This window comes from Homo sapiens, chromosome 5 (assembly GCF_000001405.40).
Source record: "Homo sapiens chromosome 5, GRCh38.p14 Primary Assembly".
Taxonomy (NCBI): Eukaryota; Metazoa; Chordata; class Mammalia; order Primates; family Hominidae; genus Homo; species Homo sapiens.
In genome coordinates this window covers 132594261-132620269 of record NC_000005.10, presented here as the reverse complement: position 1 = coordinate 132620269, position 26009 = coordinate 132594261, and the positions used below count along the sequence as shown (strand labels likewise).

At 38.0% G+C, this 26009-nt stretch overlaps 1 protein-coding gene across 1 annotated transcript in view, besides 1 other annotated feature; it reads right to left on the bottom strand.

Moving 5' to 3' along the window:
- Positions 1-26009, bottom strand: part of RAD50 (RAD50 double strand break repair protein) — an 89373-nt gene that overhangs the window by 26080 nt on the left and 37284 nt on the right. Inside the window, exons 12-21 of the mRNA NM_005732.4 lie at positions 25226-25401; positions 24460-24697; positions 16781-16970; positions 16224-16350; positions 15271-15464; positions 11545-11655; positions 11061-11153; positions 10874-10987; positions 4140-4267; positions 1976-2200 (exon numbers count right to left, since the gene is read on the bottom strand). Coding sequence (NP_005723.2) covers positions 1976-2200; positions 4140-4267; positions 10874-10987; positions 11061-11153; positions 11545-11655; positions 15271-15464; positions 16224-16350; positions 16781-16970; positions 24460-24697; positions 25226-25401 — 1596 coding nt within the window. The remainder of the gene's footprint in view (positions 1-1975; positions 2201-4139; positions 4268-10873; positions 10988-11060; positions 11154-11544; positions 11656-15270; positions 15465-16223; positions 16351-16780; positions 16971-24459; positions 24698-25225; positions 25402-26009) is intronic.
- Positions 1698-1873: a silencer, noted in NCBI's record as "fragment chr5:131954089-131954264 (GRCh37/hg19 assembly coordinates)". NCBI's record gives its function as "represses an EF-1alpha promoter that drives an FKBP-Casp9 reporter gene in an ReSE screen in phorbol 12-myristate 13-acetate-treated (for megakaryocytic differentiation) K562 erythroleukemia cells {active_cell/tissue: K562(+PMA)}" and the evidence as "EXISTENCE:reporter gene assay evidence [ECO:0000049][PMID:32094911]".

The window sequence follows — 26009 nt, the reverse complement described above, 5'->3', positions numbered from 1 at the left end:
ATTAAATACTTAAATGTACTTACATGTGAAAGGCAAAATTTAAAACTTTTAGACAAAAATATAGAAGTAGGGCGTGGCAGCTCACGCCTGTAATCCCAGCACTTTGGGAGGCCAATACAGGTGGATCACGAGGTCAGGAAATCGAGACCATCCTGGCTAACACGGTGAAACCCCATCTCTACTAAAAATGCAATAAAATTAGCCGGGCGTAGTGGCGGGCGCCTGTAGTCCCAGCTACTCAGGAGGCTGAGGCAGGAGAATGGCGTGAACCTGGGAGGCAGAGCTTGCAGTGAGCCGAGATGGCGCCACTGCACTCCAGCCTGGGCGACTGAGTGAGACTCCGTCTCAAAAAAAAAAAAGATATATCTCTCTCTCTCTCTCTCTATATATATATATATCTTTATATATATATATCTTTATATATATATATATAGAGAGAGAGAGAGAGAGAGAGGAGTAGAGAGAGAGAGAGAGAGAGAGAGAGAGGAGTAGGGAAGGATTTCTTAACAAGACACACAAAGAGCTAACCAGAAAAGGCTGCTAAATTCAACTAACTCAAAATCAAATCCAGTGTCATCAAAAGATGCTAAGTAAAAAAGATAAGCATAATGTTTGAAAAGACATTTGTAATACATATAACTGAAAAGGAATTGAAATGCAGAAGAGATAAAGAACACATTTAAATCAATAAGAAAAGACCAATAGGGCCAGGAACAATGCCTCACACCTGTGACCCCAGCACTTTGGGAGGCCGAAGTGGGAGGAATGCCTGAGCCCAGGAGTTTGAGGTTACACTGAACTATGATTGCACCATTGCACTCTAGCCTAGGTGACAAAGAGAGACTCTGTCCCAAAACACACAAAAAGACAAGACTAATAATGTATAAACAACGATTCATCATTTTAAACCTATGAGGTTGGCAAACATTAAGAAATTTATAAAACCAATGTCAGAGGATCCATCAAATAAACCCTTATATACTGCTAGTGGTATAAATCAGTAGTCATTTCTGGAAAACAATATTATTTTGTAAAATTGAGCATACTCCACAATGCACTCCCACAAATATAACCTTATACCTTTCCTCCAGAAGACATGACAAGACCTGGAAAAAAACCCCAAATGTCCATCTGTAGGAGAATGAATGCATTGTGGTCTATTCCCATAGTAGATTATGTACATCAGTGAAAATGAATCAACTACGGCCATAAACAACATGGATAAACAAAAGCAAATCCAAATAAAAAAGCAAGTCCTAGAATATCATATCATTTTTAAAAAGCTCAAAATATGACATATATATGATAAAACTGTTTTTTAAAAAAGCAGAGAAAGTAAAAATCTTTGTCACTGGTTATAGGGAATGGGGATGACAGAAGGTTGAGATAAGAAGGGAGCATCTAAGTGGATGCCAATCAGTGATAATGGTAGATTGGTTAGAGGGAGGTAGTATCATGAATACTCGTAGATATTAATATGCTTTATATCTTAACTTCATAACTTAAGCTAGTGTGTGTTTACATACATACATACATATATTTTCCAATCCATGGTATACATAAAATACCATATTTAAAGAGAAAAAATGAGGGGCTGGGCGCAGTGGCTCATGCCTGTAATCCCAGCACTTTGGGAGGCCGAGGCGGGTGGATCACCTCAGGTCAGGAGTTCGAGACCAGCCTGACCTACATGGAGAAACCCCGTCTCTACTAAAAATACAAGATTAGCCCAGCGTGGTGGCATGCACCTGTAATACCAGCTACTTGGGAGGATGAGGCAGGAGAATCATTTGAACCCGGGAGGCAGAGGTTGCAGTGAGCTGAGATCGTGCCATTGCACTCCAGCCTGGGAAACAAGAGTGAAACTCTGTCTCAAAAAATAAAAAAGAAAAAAAGAAAAAAATGAGAGAAAAGATGACTAAAGTATGTTAGTTAATATTAACTGCAATAAGAAAATCCCCAGTCTAATACTTACTGGTCAAGAGTCTTATAATAAATATCCAGATCCTTGTTCACAAGTTCTGTTGTCCTCATAACAATCATCATTTCTCTATACTTTTCCTCAGCATCCCGAAATTGTGGTTCTCGAAGTTCTTTCTTAAAATGAATAATTTCTTCTTCATAACCTTTCTGTCGCCCTAATGCCAAATTATGATTTCTTTTTATATTGTCTATGTTCTCTTCCAACTTCTGATGTTCACTGTAAAAAAGAAAAATGACAAATGAGGACCATTTTTTAGCTTTTAACAACCTGAAGTGGAAAAGTCATAGATTTCTTTAGATAGGTTAAGTATCATTCTCCTTAGCAATCAGTATATTATAACAGAGTCTCTCCTTGCTTATTATTTAGGGCTTTGGTACTAAAGAAAACCCCTCTCTTCCTTCCATATCTCTGCCGCACATAGGTTGCTAAATAGCTAATTTTGTGTATTACAGAACCCTCATAGCATGTGATCACTGATAAAGTTCCTGGCCTTTAGACGCTAAGTAAAGCACTCTGGTGATTAATATTACAAATTCACAATCTTCTGATTGTGAACTGAGAATGCACAATTATCAACACTAAGAAGTTATGGATAACAGGCTTCATCATCATTTTGCTCATGTCAAAGGCACAATACGAATTAAATCATATATTAATTTTCTGCAGTAATACTTATTAAAAATTTAGATTCCTCCATGAAAACAAAATTTCTCTTGCACAAGTGTAAAAACCATAATAATGACCAAAAAAGTAAAATATTCAAACTTTTCTGATATTTTGGCAGATTATACAAATTTCAATGTATGCTTTAAAAATCTTCATTTATTTATTATCACTTATTAAGCATCCTCTTATGTGTCAGGCACTACTCTCAAGCTTATGGGCATCCTTACAGAGTCGACTGGATTACAAGTCTTGTTGGCATTTCTGTTATGTCCTGGTTGAAGAAACGTTTGAAAAATAGTTGTACTTAGTAATGTGAATGAATGTAAAAAGTACTGTTATGTACCAATTACAGAAGAAATTTTTTAAATATCTGGTTTTGGTCTTTAGTAGCCACGAATATATTATTTTATATCAAAATTTCTTCTAGAAGCATTACTTTTCCAACTTGCCATGGAGAGTATCGTGTAAAAGAACTGAGGCTTGGGAACTAGGATATTAGGGTCACATTCTTGGCTTTCATCATAATTTCCTCTGTGATTTTTCTGGGTCTAAGTGTGCATAATGCATACAAAAATGAAGACTCTGAAGATGATGAGCTCTTCTAGTTAAAAATCTGATTTCCCTGATATAGGAAAGAGATTTTAAATAGCTAAGAGTACTTAACCAAAACACAGGATTAACCATTTGTTAGGCTTTATAAATTAAAATTCACTTTACTATATCCTTTAGAAAAGCCTGGGCATTTTTTCATTCAGATTTCTGTATAAATTCAAGAAGACATGAAAACTCTACAAGGAAGGGTTTAATAAATGAGAGGCCTGGATTTAACCAGCTGAGGTGGTTGACAATCTAAGTATTTGCCTAGTACAACCTTTTATACCAGTCTAGTGCCTTAGCATCAACAAGGTTCTTACAGAATTCCTAAGGCAACTAACTCTAAGGCAGTCAAGGCAGGAATAAAATCTTTTCTGCTGTACCAGGAAGGTAGCAACTACAATAAGTAACAATAAGACCAGATAAAGGAAGAATGAGGCTCATCTTTCAAAAGAAATGCTCTGGTGGACACATAATTACAAATGAGAAAATCTAAAATGAATCTCTGTGGATAAATCACTCTGGCAACAACTCCATTGACAATATTATAGACTGTACAAGCTCTGACCCAGACAAGGTCCACAGCTCCATATTCTTTATGCTTAGTACCACTATTCTGTGCAGCAGGCTAGCAGATGTATGGGGACTAAGCATGTTCAATACTGAATAACTAAGGCCCATCACTACAGTGTGATTACCAATTCTATATCACTTCTTCAGTAATAAAGTTCTTAAGGCCATGAAATATAATTGTATCAAAACACTGTTCACCTTCTAGTAACTCTCAAAGGATACCAGGCTGAGGCTAAAATTCTTTTAAAACAGGTATTTAATATTCTTCACATTCCAGTAATAAAGACGTTTATTTAAACTGAAGATTATTTTAAAAGCATACCTTTTCATTTGCAAAACCTGCATTTGACCCATTTCCTTCAAATGTTGTTTTCTTTCTTCTTCAACTTCTTTTAGTTCCTCATTTCTTTTTCTTAAAGTAAGGTTATCTTGTAGCCACCTTTCTTGTATCTAAAGGTAAACATTAAATTAGTTAACAAAAATAACCAAGTTACTAACATGAAATCTGTAACAGGCAACTGGTGACAGCAAGTGCCATTTCTGTCTTACTTAGAATCATGTGAAATTCAACAGAGGGAGAATAAGCCAGTGTGAAGGAATCTACAGGTCTGGGGCAATCTGGATGGCCCATCCCCATCCACAGTGACAAGTGTAATACCTCCTGTAGCGCAGCTTTTACTGCTCTTTCACAACCATAATCTAAAAACCAGGTCTACTGTTTGATGGGGAGTCTCATAAAGATTTGAGCATATATCTGTGTACTTATTTACTTATAAAGTATTAAAAACATACAAAACAGACATTTTAAATGGTGAAATTAAAAATATAACTAGATATTTTAATACCTACATCCCCAGTGGATCATTTTGCATAGGAACCCCATGATAAAGCCTACTGACCTGAAAGATTATAAGAGATCAATACTACTACTGAAGTCTTCCCCAACTTTTTCGTCCTAGTTCTGTCTCCCAACATGTACCAAGACCATTAGAACCTGTTAGGTATATGTTACCTGCAACTTCTACCTTTAGGTTGACAAATTGTAATCACTCAAGGCAGTAAGAAGTGCCACAATAGTAGCATATATCTATGAACTTGGTACCTCCTTAGCCACCGAAATGAAATTTCAAAAAATTGGCTGTTCTTGTTGAGTAGTTTTGTCCTTCAAAAGAGACTCAATAACACTTAGCAGCAGCAGCAACAACAACAAAATTATTTCAGTGGTTTTCCTGGTGATTAAAATGAACTATGTTGTCAAGAGACAATCATTAGAAAACAGTTTTTAAGTTGATTCTTTGGAATTTAGAGGAAAAAAAATTTCCTGCAGAAAGAAGGGTGATTTGGCCCACAAATCATGTGTATAGAAAACTTATTCTGAATTTGGAGTAAGGATTTCTCAAAGAGGGAGCTGGGACCCTCCTGCAATAGCCCTTGCAGCTAAGCTAAACTCAGTGACATGGGAAGTGAGAGAGATGGACAGACCTGTGGCAATATCTTGCACCAACAGTAAAGGCCAGGGACTGGTAGATGAGAGAGGGAAATCAAGGATTTCTCTCACATGCTTAATGTTCATATCCAATCCTGCCCCTCTATGCGTGACTATTTTTAGAGTTTTTTTTTTCTTTTTTAACAGTCACAAAGTAAGGCTACTTTCATTTTTCCTGGAAATAATATAAACATACAATTTATCCACAGGGTCCACATCTACGGATTCAACTAACCATGGATCAAAAATATTGGGGAAAAAAAATAAAAAGTAATAGTACAATAAAAAAATACAAATTTAAAATAATACAATATAAAAACTACGTATCATTTACATATTAATATCAAAAGCAATCTAGAGATTAAAGTATATCAGAGGATATGGATAGGCTATATGTAAACACTAGATATGCCATTTTATATAAGGGACTTGAGCATCCTAGATTTCGGTATCTGTTTTATCGGGGGATCCTGGAACCAATCCCTCCCAGAGATACCGAGACAACTGAATATGTATCTACTAAAGGCATTATTATAGGCAGTTAAAGGTGACTAAAATGACATGGTTATAAATGTCCTTTGTTGCTAAAGCAATCTAATGTACCACTGTAGCTGGTGTGACTTACCAAGGTTCTACTATGGGGTACTATGCTTGTTGTTCCTTATTAGGAACAAGGGAATGTGCTACTGCTTACTTTCATCTAATACCCCAGAACATTTGAATTTGTTTTCACAATTGCATGAAAGGACTCTTTAAAGTGCTATCACATTTTTAGATGAGACTGATTTTTGGCACAAAATATTGTTGCTGGTCTGTCTACCTGCATTGTTACCAGACAGCTAGGCATTTCTTTGTTTTAGGTCAGCTTCCATTATTCTTCTAGTTTTGAAAGACAGTATATACCACATCAAGAGTGTAATGCTTTGAAGTCAGATACATCTAGGCTCAAATCACAGTGTTATTACTTTTAAACTGGATAACTTTGGGCAAATTAGTTTAAATTCTCTGAACCTCAGTTTGCTTATAACATGGTCAATAATGATACTATCTATCATAAAGAACTATTGTGTGGCCGGGCGTGGTGGCTCATACCTGTAATCCCAGCACTTTGGGAGGCCAAGGCAGATGGATTACTTGAGGTCAGGAGTTCGAGATCATCCTGGCCAACATAGTGAAACCCCACCTCTACTAAAAATACAAAAATTAGCCAGGCCTGGTGGCACTCGCCTGTAGCCCCAGGCAGGTTGAGGCAGGAGAATCACTTGAACCCGGGAGGCGAATGTTGCAGTGAGCCGAGATTGTGCCACTGCACTCCAGCCTGGGTGAGAGAGCAAGACTCCATCTAATTTAAAAAAAAAAAAAAAAAAAAAAAGACTATTGTGAAGATTAAAGGAATGAGTGTATGTAATCAGTATAGTGCCTGACTCAATAATTGCTAATAAAATGCCTTTTGGGTCAAATTTGTCCTTTGTACTGTAAGCAGTGAGAATTCCAATTATAGTCTACAAAATGTATCAGAGAAAGGAAGGGAAAAAAAATCAGATGCAGTTATAGTATACCACAAATGTTTTTCCATTCTACTAGAAATTTGATAGTGTAGGGTCCAGTTCTACCTGTTACTACTTTTTGTGACCTTGGACAAGTCAGGTCACCTACAGTTCTCTTCATATATTCCTTCAGCTGAAAACTGAGAAAGGCAGTTAAGTTTCCAAATTATTTTATTCTGTGGACTAAATTTAGCAGGGCTTAAATCAGTACGTAAATAAGTGACTGTTAGGCTCCTCAGCTCTTAAATATTAACCCCAATCATCCAACTCAGATGACAGTTAATGCATGCAGCTGGTCACCTATGGAAACATAAAAATTAGCTGCATTCTAGATACCTGTGAGAGAGTGGCATGCTGAACAGATTACAGTCCAATGTCCACCAAAAGTCTAGCTGGGAATAACACCACTTCTACAAGACTGCCTGAAAGCTATGCAGTCCATCCAGTGCTGGCTCAGTTATTGACAGCTAAAGGGATATATTAGAACCTCTAAGGAATTTCAACAAAACACACATATCTCTGCCCAAACCCCCAAGATTCTGATTTACTGGTGTGGATTGGAGACATAGACATATATATATATATATTTTTTGAGACAGGGTCTTGCTCTGTTGCCCAGGCTGGAGTGCAGTGGCGTAGTAAGGGCTCACTGCAGCCTTGAACTCCCCAGCTCAAGCAATCCTCCCACCTCAGCCTCCTGAGTAGCTGGGACTACAGGTATGCACCATCACACCTGGCTAATTTTTTTGTAGAGATGGGGTTTCGCCATATTGCCCAGGATAGTCTGGAACTCCCAGGCTCAAGCAATCTGCCCGCCTCGGCCTCCCAAAGTGCTAGGATTACAGGCATGAGCCACTGTGCCCGGCCAACACATGTATTTTTAATAACCTAAGTCATTTTTTAAAAACTGAGATGTAATTAATATTCCACAAAATTCACTGTTTAAACGTGTACAATTTAGCAGTTTTACTTTATTTACAAGGTTATACAACCATCACCACTATCCAATTCCAGAGCATTTGATCATCCCAAAAGGAAATCTCATATTCAATAGCAGTCACTCTATTCCTTCCTCACCTCTAGCCCCCTGGAAACATTAATCTGCTGTCACTGGATTTACCTAATCTGTACATTTATTATAAGTGGAATCGTACATTATGTGACCTTTTGTGACTGGCTTCTTTTGCTTAGCATGTTTTAAGGGTTCATTCATGTGGTAGCATGTATCCTTTTTATGGCTGAATAATATTCCATTGTATGGGTATACCACATTTTGTTTATCTGATCATCAGTTGATGGCCATTTGGGTGTGTCCATATTTTGACTATTACAAATAATGCTGCTATGAGCATTCTTGTACAAGTTGTTGTGGGAACATATGTTTTCAATTTTCTTAGTTCTATACCTAGAAGTGGAAAAACTCAGACGATTTACAGGTGCCCCTAGCTAAGAACCTTTGCTTTCTAAACATTAACATTTACTTCAGGCTTCAATCATACCACCCTCTACAGAACCTCGTATCAAGGAATAATGATGCTGAGATACACTGTATTTTTTTTAAAGCCCTGCGAAGTCTGTTGAAGACTATACATGTCTTCCTTTCTATGAATAGAGACATTATCCTGTAGTCAGTATAGGAAACTGGTTTTCTTTTAGCATTGACACAATGTGAATCTTGACTAATTGTGACTTTTTTTTTTTTTTTTTTTTTTTTAAGACGGAGTCTGGCTCTGTCACCCAGGCTGGAGTGCAGTGGTGCGATCTCGGCTCACTGCAAGCTCTGCCTCCCAGGTTCACGCCATTCTCCTGCCTCAGCTTCCTGAGTAGCTGGGACTACAGGCGCCCACCACCAGGCCTGGCTAATTTTTTGTATTTTTTAGTAGAGACGGGGTTTCGGCGTGTTAGCCAGGATGGTCTCGATCTCCTGACCTCGTGATCTGCCCGCCTTGGCCTCCCAAAGTGCTGGGATTACAGGCGTGAGCCACCACGCCTGGCTGTTTTTGTTTCTGTTTGTTTGTTTGTTTGTTTGAGACGGAGTTTCACTCTTGTCACCCAGGCTGAAGTGCAATGGTGTGATCTCGGCTCACTGCAATCTCTGCCTCCCAGGTTCAAGCGATTCTCCTGCCTCAGCCTCCTGAGTACCTGGGATTACAGGCGCGTGTCACCACACCTGGCTAATTTTTCTATTTTCAGTAGAGATGGGGTTTTACCATATTGGCCAGGCTAGTCTTGAACTCCTGACCTCAGGTGATCCGTCTGCCTTGGCCTCCCAAAGTGCTGGGATTACAGGCATGAGTCACTGCGCCTGGCCTCCTCTCTTTATTTGACTACTAGAATCTTCAGCAAGCATATCAGACTTCATGCATACTTTTTATACACTTCTCTCCTGGTTTCATTACTTTCTTGCCCTTATTTCTACACTGCCTTGTTTTCCCATTAATTTGAAATACATTTATCTTTGCTCTATTGTATATAACTAAGTAAATAATTTCTGGAACAAGGAAGGTTACAAAGTAAACTAATACCATCAGATCCACTAAGTTTAGACCATCACTTTAAAAGGGGTCATAGATCATTAATCTTAACAATTTCGTATATATATACAGAGAGCTGCTGCGAATTTACAGATTGTGATTTTTATATAGGCAACTACATAAAAGCTAGTGATAATTATTTTGTTATATATGCATCATAAATTTATACAGTTATTCAATATGTATTAGGCCAGGCAGAGATTTGATCTCCCTTTGACTGATATTTCATATATTTGAAATTCTTGGTGGTACAGAAAGAGACCCAGCAGAAAACTAATGTAACTAATCTTCCAAATGATTTTAAGCAACCACTTATAACCAAGTGGTTAAGGCATTCAAATAGTAAATTTTGTTTAAAACAGTAAGAACAGAGAAATGGTATAGTTTTTAAAGGCATTAACTACCATGCTTGCATAAAGCATGTGATGATGGCTTCTTAATATGATTTTGATTATACTATAGAAATTAATTTCTTTAATAGAGAAAATAAATGATATAGGAATCAACTGGAAAATGACTTAATATATAAATATTTTCCTTACAGATTACTTTCAAGATTATTAAACCTTAATCCGTCTTTTGTGAATTTATGCTACATAAAGATATGTTAGAATAAGAAAAGATACAGATACATGTTAAAGATGTTCATTGTCACACAGTTTGTGATAAGGAAATGAAATCAATCTGAGTAAGTGCTGGTATATACACAAAATGGACTATTTTATAATCATTAAAAAGAATGTGATACATCTGTGAGTTGATAGGTAAAATCAAATTATGTTAAGTGAAAAAAGGTACAGAATAACATGATACGACCCCATCCATAAAAGTAAATTTAAATATATATATATATATATACACACACACCTAAATTTATCTACCTATCTGCTGGTATATGAATAAAAAACTTCTTTAAGAACAAATAAGTGTAACAGTTAATGACATGTAGAAGTAAGATTGAGAATTAGGAGAAGGGGAGGAACACTTTTATGCCTTTATGTTCGAACTTTTACCATGAGTCTTTTACTGAAAATAAAAATAAAAAATAAATGAAGTAAGAATGTTATTGGAATTATTTTTCTTTACTTTTTGCATTTCTTTTTAGAGACAGAGTCTCGCTGTGTCGCCCAGGCTAGAGTGCAGTGGTACAATCACAGCTCACTGCAACCTCTGCCTCCCAGGTTCAGGTGATTCTCATGCCTCAGCTTCCCGAGTAGCTGGGACTACAGGTGCGCGCCGCCACGGCCAGCTAATTTTTGTATTTTCAGTACAGACAGGGTTTCACTGTGTTGGCCAGGCTGGTCTTGATCTCCTGGCCTCAAGTGATCCACCCGCCTCGGCCTTCCAAAGTGCAGGGATTACAGGTGTGAGCCACCACGCTTGGCCTCTTTCCTTTTTGCATTTCTATTCAATGGATCTTCTATTGAAAATAAAACTATAGAAAAGAATGTCATAGGTGTAAGTGATATCATAAGCAAAACAGACCTACCTTCTGTGTATCAATATCTTGTCTCATGAGTCTCATATCTTCATTTATCTTTTCTTTGTGTTTCTCGCATTCACTTAGTTGAGCTATTACTTTATTAAGTTCAGTTTCTTTTTGCTACAAAAAAGAAAATTCTTTAAGCACATGAATAAAAATACAATCAAATAAATAATTTTAAGTTTTAAATTACCTTCTTATAGTCGTCTTTCCCATCTTGAATATAATTCTCAATGTCTTTCATATAGCCATGAATATTTTTAACCTTCTCTTTAATATCATTCAGCTGTAGAAAAATATTCATTAAATTTACACTGGTTGTACTTAAGGGCACATAACAGGAGAGCACAGTAAAACACTGGCTGGGAAGTTATGAACATTGGGTTCCAGTTTCCACCACTACTGAATTTTATGATCGCAGACAAGTCCCTTTCTCACCTATAGGAATTGATTAATTAGTCTCATTTCTTAACTTCTATTGTAGATCAAGCAGCAAAATAATTTACATCAAATCCTTGTTCTAACAAGAATTTCTAATGTCAAAATTATACCATGAATCTGAAAATACTATTTATCTTATGCTATTTAATTTCATGTGAAATAAGTGTCCGACGTGGTGCTATGAACATAAGTTTAATACAGATATTTGATAAGTAAATATATAAATGAAATCTTACTTTATCCTGTGCTATTTTGTTGCTTGTATTTTTTTTGTTGATTAATTCTTCTTTTTCTTGCTGGAACTTTTCCAATGTTGTTTCCAAAGGGCTTACCTGCTCTTTAGCATCCTAAAAATATAAAAAAGATAAAGTATTATATAATATTCCATTATCTTACTTTAGGGGTCAGACTTCACAGTCTTAATAAAAGCACTTTCTATGTGCCAGGCTCTAAAAGTCAACTCATTTGCTCCTTTCAATGACCCTATGAGGACAGTACCATCATTTTCAGTCCTATATTTCAAACGAGCAAACAGACACAGAGAATGATTTGTCCAGGGTCACAACAGCCAGTAAATGAAGCAGCCAAGATTTTAACCCAGTCCAGCTCCAGAGTTCACGCTCTTAACCACTACGCATGCTATACTGCATCAACCACTAATTTGATTCTTAATCTAGGCCATGTGCTCCCAATTATATTAGCGTGTGGCTTCAAGCATGAGTTTTCATGATTTTATAGGTGCCCGTCACTGCTGCATGATCAAAGAATAGGAAAGCTCATTCAGTCCAGACTTTTCTTTTTCAGATGAAAACATGATGGTAAAAACACTTCTGTCCTTAAGCTTAGCCTGCTAAGGCTACGCAGATATTTCATGGTAATAAAAGCATACTGTTAAACTAATGTTGGTGTCTCCACAACTATTTTGGAAGGAACGGGGCTTTCAAGTAATAAACTATTTTACTAAATAGAAGTCCCCATTATTTAGCCTTGTAACACTAAATCTACAACGTAGTTATATGATAACCACAGTTCAAAACAGAGGTCCTCAAGCACTTTAAGATTCTGAAGTACTGAGTGAATCTATAGAGGTAGATACAATTATTTAGTAATTACTTCAATATAGGTCTATTTTATCATACTGGGAAGTGGTATGGTGTGTTAGGAAGTCAAATGCCCTCAGTGTCAAAAGATCTATCAGAAAATCAACTCTGCTTCCTATTAGCTGCATAAACTTAGGCACTCATGAGACATTTGTAAATCTCAATTTTTCTATAAAGAGATTTCATCATCTAAATAGGGTTGCTGAGGCACTGAATGGTTCAATGTCAAAGTGCTTTATAAATAGTAAAAAATTATACAGATGCAAGTACTATTTTATATTATATTCTGAACCTCTGATATTTTGTAATCTAAAATTTAATAAAAATTTATAGTAATTATTCAGTAATATACTTAGTGCTTATTGAATGAGTACGCATAATTATATAAACCTAGGTAAGATTGTTTATAACTGTTTATAACTGGTTGAGTCTTAGATGTGATTAATCTATATAAGGGATGTCAAATGCATTCCAGTGGCAACTGAGTGCCTGCTCACTGTATTGGTAAGGGTTCTGAAACCACATCCGGAATCAAATGGAAAGAGTGCTATGACTGAGAGTGACCGCCATAGATAAAGGATCTGCAGATAAGACAAACCTCCTGTACAAGCAGGAATCCTTATACAGAATTAACCAACCACCACCTGACCACCTCCAATAACATTTACTACTTAACCAGGCAGCCAGTTCTTCCTTATTATGGCAAACTCCTTCTTCCAGAAATCTTTACTTACTAGTACAAGTTCTATCACTTAGGAACCACACAAATAATTATTATACCATTTTCATTTGATCCTCATAATAGCTGGTTTTCAAAGGGAATGCTTCCAGTTTTTGCCCATTCAGTATGATATTGGCTGTGGGTCTGTCATAAATAGCTCGTATTATTTTGAAATACATTCCATCGATACCTAGTTTATTGAGAGCTTTTAGCATGAAGCGGTGTTGAATTTTATCGAAGGCCTTTTCTCCATCTATTGGGATAATCATGTGGTTTTTGTCTTTGGTTCTGTTCATGTGATGGATTACATTTATTGATTTGCATATGTTGAACCAGCCTTGCATCCCAGGAATAAAGCCGACTTGATCGTGGTGGATAAGCTTTTTGACGTGCTGCTGGATTCGGTTTGCCAGTATTTTATTGAGGATTTTTGCATCGATGTTCATCAGGGATATTGGCCTGAAATTTTCTTTTTTTGTTGTGTCTCTGCTAGGTTTTGGTATCAGGATGATGCTGGCCTTATAAAATGAGTTAGGGAGGATTCCCTCTTTTTCTATTGTTAGGAATAGTTTCAGAAGGAATGGTACCAGCTCCTCTTTGTACCTCTGGTAGAATTCGGCTGTGAATCTGTCTGGTCCTGGACTTCTTTTGGTTGGCAGGCTATTAATTACTGCCTCAATTTCAGAACTTGTTGTTGGTCCATTTGGGGATTTGACTTCTTCCTGGATTAGACTTGGGAGGGTGTATGTATCCACGAATTTATCCATTTATTATTTTCTAGTTTATTTGCGTAGAGGTGTTTATAGTATTCTCTGATGGTAGTTTGTATTTCTGTGGGATGGGTGGTGATATCCCCTTTATCATTTTTTATTGCATCTATTTGATTCTTCTCTCTTTTCTTCTGTATTAGTCTTGCTAGTGGTCTATTTTGTTGATCTTTTTAAAAAACCAGTTCCTGGATTCATTGATTTTTTTGAAGGGTTTTTCGTGTATCTCCTTCAGTTCTGCTCTAATCTTAGTTATTTCTTGTCTTCTGCTGGCTTTTGAATTTGTTTGCTCTTGTTTCTCTAGTTCTTTTAATTTTGATGTTAAGGTGTTGAATTCAGTTATTTCCTGCTTTCTCTTGTGGGCATTTAGTGCTATAAATTTCCCTCTACACAGTGCTTTAAATGTGTCTCAGAGATTCTGGTACATTGTATCTTTGTTCTCACTGGTTTCAAAGAACATCTTTATTTCTGCCTTCATTTCGTTATTTAACCGGTAGTCATTCGGGAGCAGGTTGTTCAGTTTCCTTGTAGTTGTGCGGTTTTGAGTGAGTTTCTTAATCCTGAGTTCTAATTTGATTGCACTGTGGTCTGAGAGACTGTTTGTTATGATTTCTGTTCTTTTGCATTTGCTGAGAGTGTTTTACTTCCAATTATGTGGTCAATTTTAGAATAAGTGCGATGAGGTGCTGAGAGTTCTGGCCATTACACTAATAAAGAGCATTTCATATTAAAGAAACATGGGCTGGGTGAGGTGATGTAAGCCTGTAATTTTGGGAGGCCAAGGCTGCATTGCTTGAGGCCATGAGTTTGAGACCAGCCTGAACAACATAGTGAGACCCTGTCTCTAGAAAAATTTTAAAAATTAGCCAGGCGTGGTGGTGTGTGCCTGTAGTCCCATCTACTTGAGAGGCTGAGGCAGGAGGATTGCTTGAGCTCAGGAGGTCGAGGCTGCAGTGAGTGAGCTGTGACTGTACCACTGCATTCCAGCTTGGAAGACTGATGAAGACTCTGTCTCTAAAAGAGAAGAATGGGGCGGGGCATGCTGGCTCACGCCTGTAATCCCAGCACTTTGGGAGGCCAAGGTAGGCGGATCACCTTAGTTCAGGAGTTTGAAACCAGCTTGTCCAATGGCGAAAACCCGTCTCTACTAAAAGAACAAAAATTAGCCAGGCATGGTGGTGCACGCCTGTAATCCCAGCTACTCCAGAGGCTGAGGCAAGAGAATCACTTGAACCCAGGAGATGGAGGTTGCAGTGAGCCGAGATCGTGCTACTGCACTCCAGCCTGGGTGACAGAACGAGACTGTCTCAAAAAATAAAAATAAAAATAAATAATTAAAATAATTTTACAAAAAACATGTATGGATATTCTTACCTTTATCTCTCTGTACAAAGACTGAACTTCAGTGGATAATTCCACAGTCTGCTCCTCCAGTTGCTGACGACGTTGCAAATTAGTGGATATCTGAAGTTTCTCAGATTTTAGCTCATTTGTTGTACTTTTTAGATGTTGAATCTGTTCCTGCTGGTCCTGTATAAGCTTACGATTCAATTCAATCTTACTAGAAACTACACAAAAACATATTATCACAGTAATTAATGTAAGGGCATAGAAAATACTATTTGTATCATTCTTCCCATTTTTATCGGTCTATGGAATCCACAAATGCTATTTCTGTGGGCCCCACCCACTGCAACAAAAATACAATGAGAACCCTGCTAGTTCTCAAATCAGCTTGATGTTCCCTGCTGGCCACTCACAGGGAAAGCTTACAGGGCAGGTATGAATGAGAAAGAATACAGCTCATGGCCAGGCGCACTGGCTCACACTTGTAATCCCAGCACTTTGGGAGACTGAGGCAGGTGGATCACCTGAGGTCAGGAGTTCGAGATCAGCCTGACAAACACAGTGAAACCCCATCTCTACGAAAAAATACAAAAATTAGCTGGGCATAGTGATGTGTGCCTGTAACCCCAGCTACTCAGGAGGGTGAGGCAGGAGAATCACTTGAACCCGGGAGGCGGAGGTTGCAGTGAGCCAAGATTGCACCATTGCACTCCAGCCTGGGCGACAAAAGTGAAACTCTATCTTAAAAAAAAAAAAAAGGAAAAGAGAATACAGCTTATTTCATACTCTCCTACTGTTCAAAATCTGTTGTGCAAAGTAAGAGAACAAAGAGAAGTGATGCTTTTCAGAAAAAAAGAGCAAATATATGTGGACAGGAAGGAACTTCGTTGTCCATGTAACAGATATAAAATTGACTGTAAAAGGCATGTGCTCGCAATGTCAAAGTCTCTATGAGTACAGAAGGACACAGACTGTATTACCTGTGTCTAACTTGTGCTGTTTCTCTTGTTTCTCCTGGTTGACTTGTTGGACAGTTCGATCTAAGTCTATTCCTTGTAGCTTAGCTGCTTGTTGTGCAATTTTTCTTTCAACATCTTTAAGTTCCATCTTAAGAATATAACAAAATGATTTCCTTTAATAAACTTACTGCATTATTCAAAATCTTTAAAAATTAATTGCTCTTATCATTTATTTTTTAAATCTAAACTTATAAACCATTTCTAGATACAATTTTAGCAAAGTTTAATAGGATAAAAGTGAAATTAATTATCAGCAATTCAAATGATGTAAACAAAAGGAAGCTGACTAAAGATGAAAAACAAACAGAACTGTCTTAATTTTTAAATTTATGAATTAAAAAGTTTAAACCCAGGGATGTAAACTAAGCAGTTTCTCCCTGAGGGTATCTGAAATTCAGGATGGGGAATTCTAAACACAACCTGTACCTGAATACTAGCTACTATTTTTAACTCTCACACTTCAAATTCAAGCCACCATGGAACAAGTTTTATTCTGCCTTAAACTACAATAAACTTACCTGGAACCTCTCCATAATTGTAACATCTGTCAGGCATACTTTGGCACTTTCTTCTTCAGGCATTATTGTACCCAAGAGTGTTTCTTGTTCTTCTATGTCGTTCTTTAGGCGCTGTATGTCTCTATTGACATTCTGCAGTTTGTTTCTTAATTCTGGTATTTCCTTCTCCTTCAAATCAATTATGCTTTGCCTAAATAGAAAACACAATTAAAAATAAAGTATCTGATGTTTCTCACAGTTAGACTGAGGTTATGTATTTTTAGGAAGAATACCACAGAAGTGACATTGTGTTCTTTTCAGGGTATCATATCAGTGGATATGGAATCATGATATCAATATGTCTTATTACTGATGATGTTAATCCTTATTCACTTGGCTTAGATGGTGTTGGCCAGGTTTCTCCACTGTAAAGTTACTGTTTTAGTCTTTGTAATTAACAAGTATCTTAGGAGAGAAATGTTGAGACTATGTAAATATCTTGCTTCTCAACTTTCTGCCTACTGATTTTAGTATCCACTGACAGATCTTGCTTGCAATAATTATTACTGTGGTGTTTGTCAAACTGAGAAATATTCTACTAATGAACTGGTCATATTGACCAAAAGTGTTAAGGTCATGAAAGATAAAGACAGATTGTTACAGACTGCAGGAGCCTAAGGAGAAATAACAACTAGATGCTACGTGGGATCCTGCATGGAACCCTGAAACAGAAAAGGCATTGATGGAAAAACTGCTAAATTCGATATGGTCTGTAATTTAGTTAGTAGCATTATATCAATGTTAATCCTGGTTTTGATAACTGTATTATAACAGAGTACATAAATTGTTAACATCAGGAGGAGCTGGATGAGGGATATATATGAATAATTTGTATTATTTTTATAATTTTTCTGTAATCCTAACATTATTTCAAAATAAAAATTTTTTAAATTACAGGAAAAAAAGGAAGGAAGCCAGCCACTAAGTGAAATGCTACATGGGTTTAAGGTACAAAATGTCAACCCATTTTACTGGTACTCACTACTGTAGCTAATGAATTACCACCTCCATGGCAGGTACTGACAACTATTTTTGCTGATGCCTCTGAAACAATAATATGTATTTAATCTTTTAAAAAAAATTTACTTCAGAAATATTCCAAATTCTTATTTAAAATTATATTGAATTAGTATGACAAAGCAGTAGAATAAATTAAACTGGTCTCTAATAGGAGTCTTATTATAAACTTAAAGAATAACCAGAAACTCAAGTGGCTATTACTTAATGATTTTTTAAAAATGCAAACTATGACCAAGAAATGCCAACCTGACCTGTGGCAACAGACCTATAGTTTTTTAAAATTTTTTAATTATTTATTTATTTTTATGCTTTAAGTTCTGGGATACACGTGCAGAACGTGTGGGTTTGTTACATAGGTATACACGTGCCATGGTGGTTTGCTGCACCCATGAACCCATCATCTACATTAGGTATTTCTCCTAATGCTATCCCTCCCCTAGCCCCCCACCAGCAGACAGGCCCCAGTGTGTGTGATGTTCCCCTCCCTGTGTCCATGTGCTCTCATTGTTCAACTCCCATTTATGAGTGAGAACATGCAATGTTTGGTTTTCTGCTCCTGTGTTAGTTTGCTGAGAATGATGGTTTCCAGCTTCATCCATGTCCCTGCAAGGGACATGAACTCATCCTTTTATATGGCTGCATAGTTACTCCATGGTGTATATGTGCCACATTTTCTTTATCTAGTCTATCATTGATGGTCATTTGGGTTGGTTCCAAGTCTTTGCTATCGTGAACAGTGCCGCAATAAACATATGTGTGCATGTCAGACCTACAGTTTTTTTTTATACCACAGAAATAGGAGGTATTTGTATTCCACATAATAAATATGAAGGTATGCAGGTTATGAGTAATTCCATGCCAATGTTTCCTCTTGAACACTGTTGTCACAGATTAGTAGTTGGCCTTAAATTATGTGCCCAATATCTAAAAAGTGACACAGCTATGACAGCCTAATAATGATGGCCAAGCATTTATTAAACTGGGGACATCTCTGTGAAGAACTGTAGGTATACATACAATTTTAACCCTATTTTTACATTTTCCTACACACACACAAAATCTTTCATCAATATGGTCTAGGTTTTGGTGCCTTCTTTTTTGATGATTACATAAGATGTTAAAAGAAGTTTTCTGGCCGGGTGTGACGGCTCACGCCTGTAATATGAGCACTTTGGGAGGCTGAGGCTGGTGAATCACCTGAGGTCAGGAGTTCAAGACCAGCCTGGCCAACATGGTGAAACCCCATCTCTACTAAAAATACAAAAAATCAGTTGGGCGTGGTGAAGGGCGCCTGTAATCCCAGCTACTTGGGAAGCTGAGGCAAGAGAACTGCTTAAACCCGGGAGGTGGAGGTTGCAGTGAGCTGAGATTGTGCCACTGCACTCTCTGGGTTTGTTTTTCTTTTTTTTAAATTTATGACATTTTATTTTTTATTTTCAAGAGTTAATTTTTCTCACGATTCACAAGGTTTTTTAAAATTATTTTCAATAGATAAATCATAATTGCAAACATTTATGGGGTACAATGTGATGTTCTGATATATGTACACAATGCACAATGATTAAATAAAGGTAATTTAACATATCCATTACCTTGCCTGCCTATCATTTTTTATAGACAGACATTTGAAATTTACTCTTTGGATTTCTGTTTTTTCAGAAACTCAATTCACCTATTTTTAGACAACATTCCTTTTCTAAGGGGATTGTGTGTAAAAAGGCTCACACAGATATGGTACTGAAAAAAACCTGTGGGAGAAATACCAATTGAGTTTGCATTTAAATGAGGTGCTATAATAAATGAATCTGAGTCAGTACTAGACAAAATGATAAACAGGTACATTTTCAGCTGAGATCTCAGTCATGATGTTAGGTTTATATTAGATACTGGCGAATTTGAGGCTTTAAATGAAAATATTTCCCGCAAAGAAGATAAGCAAGATATGGCTCCCCACTACCTCTCTGAGCTCATCTTCCACAACTTTTCCCTTTGGCCTTCAGGTCAAATATGTCTCAGAGATTTTGCACTGCCTAGAATATTCTTCTTATGGACAACTGCATGGCTGACTCCCTCACTTCTCTCAAGTTTCCACTCCACTGCCACCTTCATCAAGTCCCCTCCTACCACCCTTCAGCTAGTCCCTATTCCCTTATCTTGCTGTAGTTTTCTCAATGCCCCTGATCATCCCCTGGCATATTATATATTTACTTATTTGTCATCCATCTCCTCCCCACTGGGATATAAACTCCATGAGGGCAGGGACTTTGTCCATTTTGTTTACTGCTGTATTACCTGCACTCCAGTAGACTGCCTATATTGGTTGCATGAATAGACAGTTCTCATGATAGTGGTGGCATCAAGGGCATATTCTAAAGGTGAAAAAGCAAATGGTGCACAGATAAATTTAATCTTGTTACTTTACCCCTCTTCACCAATAACCTTCCACCTAAGTGACTATCATAAATAGACCTCCACAATGTCTCTGAAAGTGACCCCACGGGATATTTGAAAGTAGTATCCTAACCAGAGGTGGAAGGAAGCTTAATGATCATGTAAATCAATCCCCTCACTTTACGTGGGGGATACGAAGGCCCAAATGGGTTAAGTAACATCCCTAAGGTCACCCAGCAGAGTTGGAATTTGAAGTCAACCTGACTGCACTCTTAGGCAATTGCTTTCCCATATTTAAAAAAAAAAAAAGTCCTCTTGGTTGGGCATGGTGGCTTATGCCTGTAATCCTAGCACTTTGGGAGGCTGAGGTAGGAGGATTGCTTGAGCTTAGGAGTTCGAGGCTTCGATGAGCTATAATCAATCACACCACTACACTCCAGCCTGGGTGACAGGAGCAAGACCCTATCTATCAATCAATCAAGTCCTCTTAATTCATTATTGACCTTTCATTTGTGGATTTATTTAAACTTAAAAAAAGTGTTTTATAATGTTATTTCCTACTATTGGGAAGAAGACTTCCTCTCTCATTTGTCCCAAACTCATCCTTCTCCAGTTTTCCAGAATGGCCCACTGACATTCTGTTAGAGCTTGCTAAACAAACAGGGGTTCATCATTTCCCTGCTCTTCGGGTCTTCAAGTTTTGGTTTCTTTATAAAAATGGTTTCCTCACACATGTGTCCTCACTTAGCAGCCCTGCCAGCATCTTGGTCCATTTTCAGTGCTTCCTGTAGGCCTTTTCTAGCTTCAGGTTCTCTTAAAATGTGTGGTAACCAGCCATTTACCTGGCTAACCTAGCTGAGCCCAGTCATCCCATGAAACCATGAAAAACTAATCACTGCGAGACAGTTTTGAGGGGGTTTGTTACAAGCAATCAATAACGGGAATAGACACTACAGTTCTCATTCATTCAGCAAATAGTTATCAAAGTTACAATATAGAATATACAAATGTGTGGTTGCCTAGTCTCTAGGTAACCAGAATGGCACACAGATGCTACTGCAGATATAGGGTTAGGCAGATTCAAGTCAGCCACAAGTACTTCGACACTCTTCCCATCAAGAGATACAGTATCCTCCCTCACTGAATCTTGGGAGTTTCTGTGACCACTCTAACCAACAGAAAAAGAAGTGTCACCATGCCAGTTTCTTGGTCTAGGCCTTAAAGGACTTGCAGCTTCTACTTCCTGTTCATGGAATACTTACCCTTAGGATACTCTGTTTAGTAACCCAGTCACTGTGCTGCCAAAAGCCCAAGACGCATGCAGAGGCCATGTGAAGATGTCCTATTTTGACAGCCCCAGCTGAGCTCCCAGACAATAGTGAGCATCACTGTCAGTCATGTGAGCCATCAAGAACATCCAGCTCGGTTATGCTTTGAGACGACTGCAGCCAACATCTGACTGCAACCGTAAGACCCCAAGTGAAAGCCACCTAGCTGAGCCCAGTCATACCACAGAACCATGAAAAATTATTGTGAGACAGATTTGAGGTTTGTTACATAGCAATAAATAATTGGAACAGACATTACAGTTCTCATTCATTTAGCAAATAGTTATCAAAGTTGCAATATACAAGGAACTGTGGAGATACAACGAGTAAGACATGCACCTTACTCTTAGAGGGGAAACTGTGGCCCAGCACGGTGGCTCACGCCTGTAATCCCAGCACTTTGGGAGGCTGAGGCAGGCGATTGCCTGAGGTGAGGAGTTTGAAACCAGTCTGGCCAACATGGTGAAACCCTCTCTCTACTAAAAATACAAAAAAAATTAGCCGAGCCTGGTGACGTGCGCCTGTAATCCCAGCTACTTGGGAGGCTGAGGCAGGGGAATTGCTTGAACCGGGGAGGTGGAGATTGCAGTGAGCCAAGACTGCGCCACTGTACTCCAGCCTGGGCGACAAAGCAAAACTCTGTCTCAAAAAAAAAAAAAAGGAGCCGTGATAGCTAGGGTCCTAAAATATAATACGATGTTAATTTCTGCCATTTATTGTATAACAGTCTAACACAGAACTAAGCTCATATTTCTACTACGTGTACTTTCTACCAATTTCAAATTTTATCCATTTGATCTTTTTCTTTTCAAGATACTACCTTATTCCTCTCCTTCCTTTTTATTCTCAAACTACTGCCTCTGTCTCCTCATCTCTGTGGCCCCAATAATCTGGTTTTCACCCTTGATGCTTGTGTTGGTTATCTATTGTTGCATAACAAAGTATCCCAAAACTTAGCAGCTTAAAATAACAGCACTTATTATTTCTCAGAGATATGAGGATCAAGAGATACGCTTCTGACTCAGGGTCTCGCATGAAGTCGCAATCAAGCTGTCAGCCAGGACTGCAGTCATCTTAAGGCTTGACTGCTACAAAGTCTGCTTCCAAACTCACTTGCTCAAAGGCCTCAGGTCCTTGGCATATGGGCCTCTCCAGAGGGCTGCTTGCAACATGGCAGCTAGCTTCCCTCAGACAAGAGACAGAGGGAGACAGAGTGAGTGAGAGAGGGGAGGAGTGGGGGAGAGTGAGCGAGTTCACACAAGGGTACAAGCACATTGCGAGAACAGAAGAAGCCATAGTACCTTAAATAACCTAATGTTGGAAAGGCCATGCTATCACTTCTGCCTGTTTTATCAGTTATATAGACCAATCATGCAACAGCATGAGATGGGACTATACAAGAGTATAAATACCAAGAGGCCGAGATTACTAGGGACCATCTTAGAAGTTGGCTGCCACAAACCACATCTTCTTAGGCCTTTCTTTCTCCTTTTCCTGAAACTCCTCCTTGGTTTTCCAGGACAATCACTTTCACTCTCCTGGTTTTTCTGCTTCCTGAGCTTTTCTCAGCCTGTTTCAGTCAATATATTAATATTAGATTAATTTTCCTAAAATACATCTTTCACTAACTCCCTTAGGTTGGCTCCTCATCACCTATCAGAGTTACAACTAGACCTGAATATAATGTAGCCCTATCTCCCCAACATACAGGACTCAATCCCTATAAATAATTCCCCAAACTCCAGATAACATTTCTACTGCAGCATAGGTCATACTCCTCTTCCCTTTGCACCGTGTTCTGACTTCCGTCTCCTCTCAGTTGAGCTGAATGAACTTCTCCAGGTCTTATATTCCTCTTCCTGCCTCATTCTCAAAATATTCTTCTCATTCTGTATCCATTGGCTCCTCCCTTCTTACCTAACACATCTGTTTGAATCATTTTTTAAGCACTTTATTAAGCCTAGCTTTCTAAATGTTGAATTCTGAGAGCTTGTCTTCTTAATCAGACCATTAGCTCCTGGAGGGTCATGTCTTAGGTCTCTGGCACTAGCCTTGTTCTCTATGTTCTGGGAGACACTAAGGCAATCATCACATATTTCCTGACTTGATTTTTGTTTGTAAACAGAACATAACACGAATTTCTTGTATAAGTGATGGAAAATATAAACAACCGAAAATCATCTATGATTCATTCTTTTAGCAAGTGGAAAAGACATTAAAAACATAGTTTAAAATCTGTCTTCTGGGAGAACTTTTCAATACTTAAATTCTTTTGCTGGGTTCAGAAAGTGGCATGTCAACAGACAGTCCTAAATCTGTGAAAATCTATGCCCACAAGCTAAGTCTTGGGAATTAAACACACATACAAAAGAACGTAAAGACTGTGTCTACCTCATAGTTTAAGAAATAAGCTTACTGGCTATGCACGGTGCTCACACCTGTGATCCCAGCACTTTGGGAGGCCGAGGTGGGCCAATCACTTTGAGGCCAGGAGCTCGAGATTAGCCTGGCCAACATGGTGAAACTCCATCTCTACTAAAAATTACAAAAATTAGCTGGGCGTGGTGGTACATGCCTGTAATCCCAGCTACTGAAGAGGCTGAGGCATGGGAATCGCTTCTGGGAGGTGGAGGTTGCAATGAGCCAAGATCATGCCACTGCACTCCAGCTTAGGTGACAGAGAGAGACTCTGTCTCAGAAAAAAAAAAGAAAAAGAAAAAAAGACAGGAAACAAGCTTATCTTTAAACAAAATAATTGAATCTTCTTATCATAGAAGTGATATAAGACAGGGCATACCAGCTCAGAGTCCTTACTGAGTAACTACCATCTGCCCAGGCATGAGATGGGTACCTTTTACAATGTGCTGCTACATGTACAGTGAAGGTAAATCCCATTCTTACCTCATGGGCACAAGTCCCAGCATTTCATCACGCCGCTTTTCCTTTTTTTTTAGCTCTGATTCTGTTGACTTGAGTTTATCTGGAGCAAGTCGCAGTTTAGACTGCAAATCACTGATGACTTCTTGTAACTCAGCCTCTGTCTGAAAAACTCTCTGACAAACGGGGCAACATGACTGGTTTTCGTCTGTTAGCTGAGTAATGAACTGGGAGTAAACTGCTGTGGCTCCAGCCAGCATGGCTATTTTAAGAAAATAAATTATATCACCAATGAGAAAAAAACATAAAATACAGTATTCTGAATACGGTTGTATCTTTTTCTATAAATATATGATTATTCTTGCTTTATAAATATATTATAAAAGAAATAAAAATTCTGATATTTAAAATTCCGATATTCGCTTCCAAAGAGCATGATACATTCAGATTTGTATAAATATTTTTTGGTAACACATTATAAGTATAACAAAATGCCTACTGAGAGCTTTCTATGTGCCAGGCACTGTTCTAAGGGCTTTATAATTACAATCTCATTCACACCTCAGTACCACAGGTGGTAGTTGTGTCCTCATTTTATAGACAATGAAACACAGGAAGGTTTCAGTAACTTGCCTAAAGTCACACAGTGAGTAAGTTGTAGAGCCAGGACTGAAATCCAAGCCATTAGGCTCCATAACCAGGTTTTTAAATTCCCCATCCTTAACAGTTACCTGTGAATGAAAATTCAAAGGTGTCAAAGTATCCTGATAATATAAAGTAGACAACTTACCTCGCTGTTTTGATGATTTTTCAATTTCCTCTTTAAGCCTGTCTAAATCACTTTCAAAATCCTGGCTACCACAAACATCAAACAGCTTGTCTTCGTAACTGGACAACTGCTCTTCCTTTCTTTTTAGTTCATTATTTATATGATTTTTATTCTGCTCAGATGAAGCTAGTTCCTTGCTAAAATAAGAGCAAATATGGATTTTCATTTTAAAATAGGAGAAATTAGTTTGAAAATTTGAGTAGGCAAAAACAAGACAAATTCTGCCAACAAATCATGACAAGAGTTTGGTATGACCAAATAATTTTTTTCAGAAGTTGAGGGACTAGTCCACTTCTGCCTTAACTCTCCCCCTAGGACACTGACTCACCTGCCAGTCCTACTCATGGGCCTGCTCCCAGAAAAATGTACACAGAATTCTGCCTGGTTTCTGGGGGTTCATGGTCTTTGATCCCAGGTTAAGCCTCAGCAAGATGCTTGCTAGGACTATTGGACAGAAAGAAGACAAGAGAACATCCCCGTAATTCCCTTTAGTCCTTTCACAAATACTACTTCCTTACTCTCCTGTAAATACTGTTTCTTTTGTATCCTCCCCCTCCTTGTTGCTGTCATCCACTTGCGTCCAGATCAGTCATTCCCTCTCATTCATCAAAGATTTTGCTTACTAGTACAATTTATCCCCACTTTAATTCTTAAACATCATCCTAGCCAACCTCAATACTCACACATAACATGGTTTTTCAATTTGCAGGTTTAGATGCATTAGCTACCATGTAATCAATTTAAT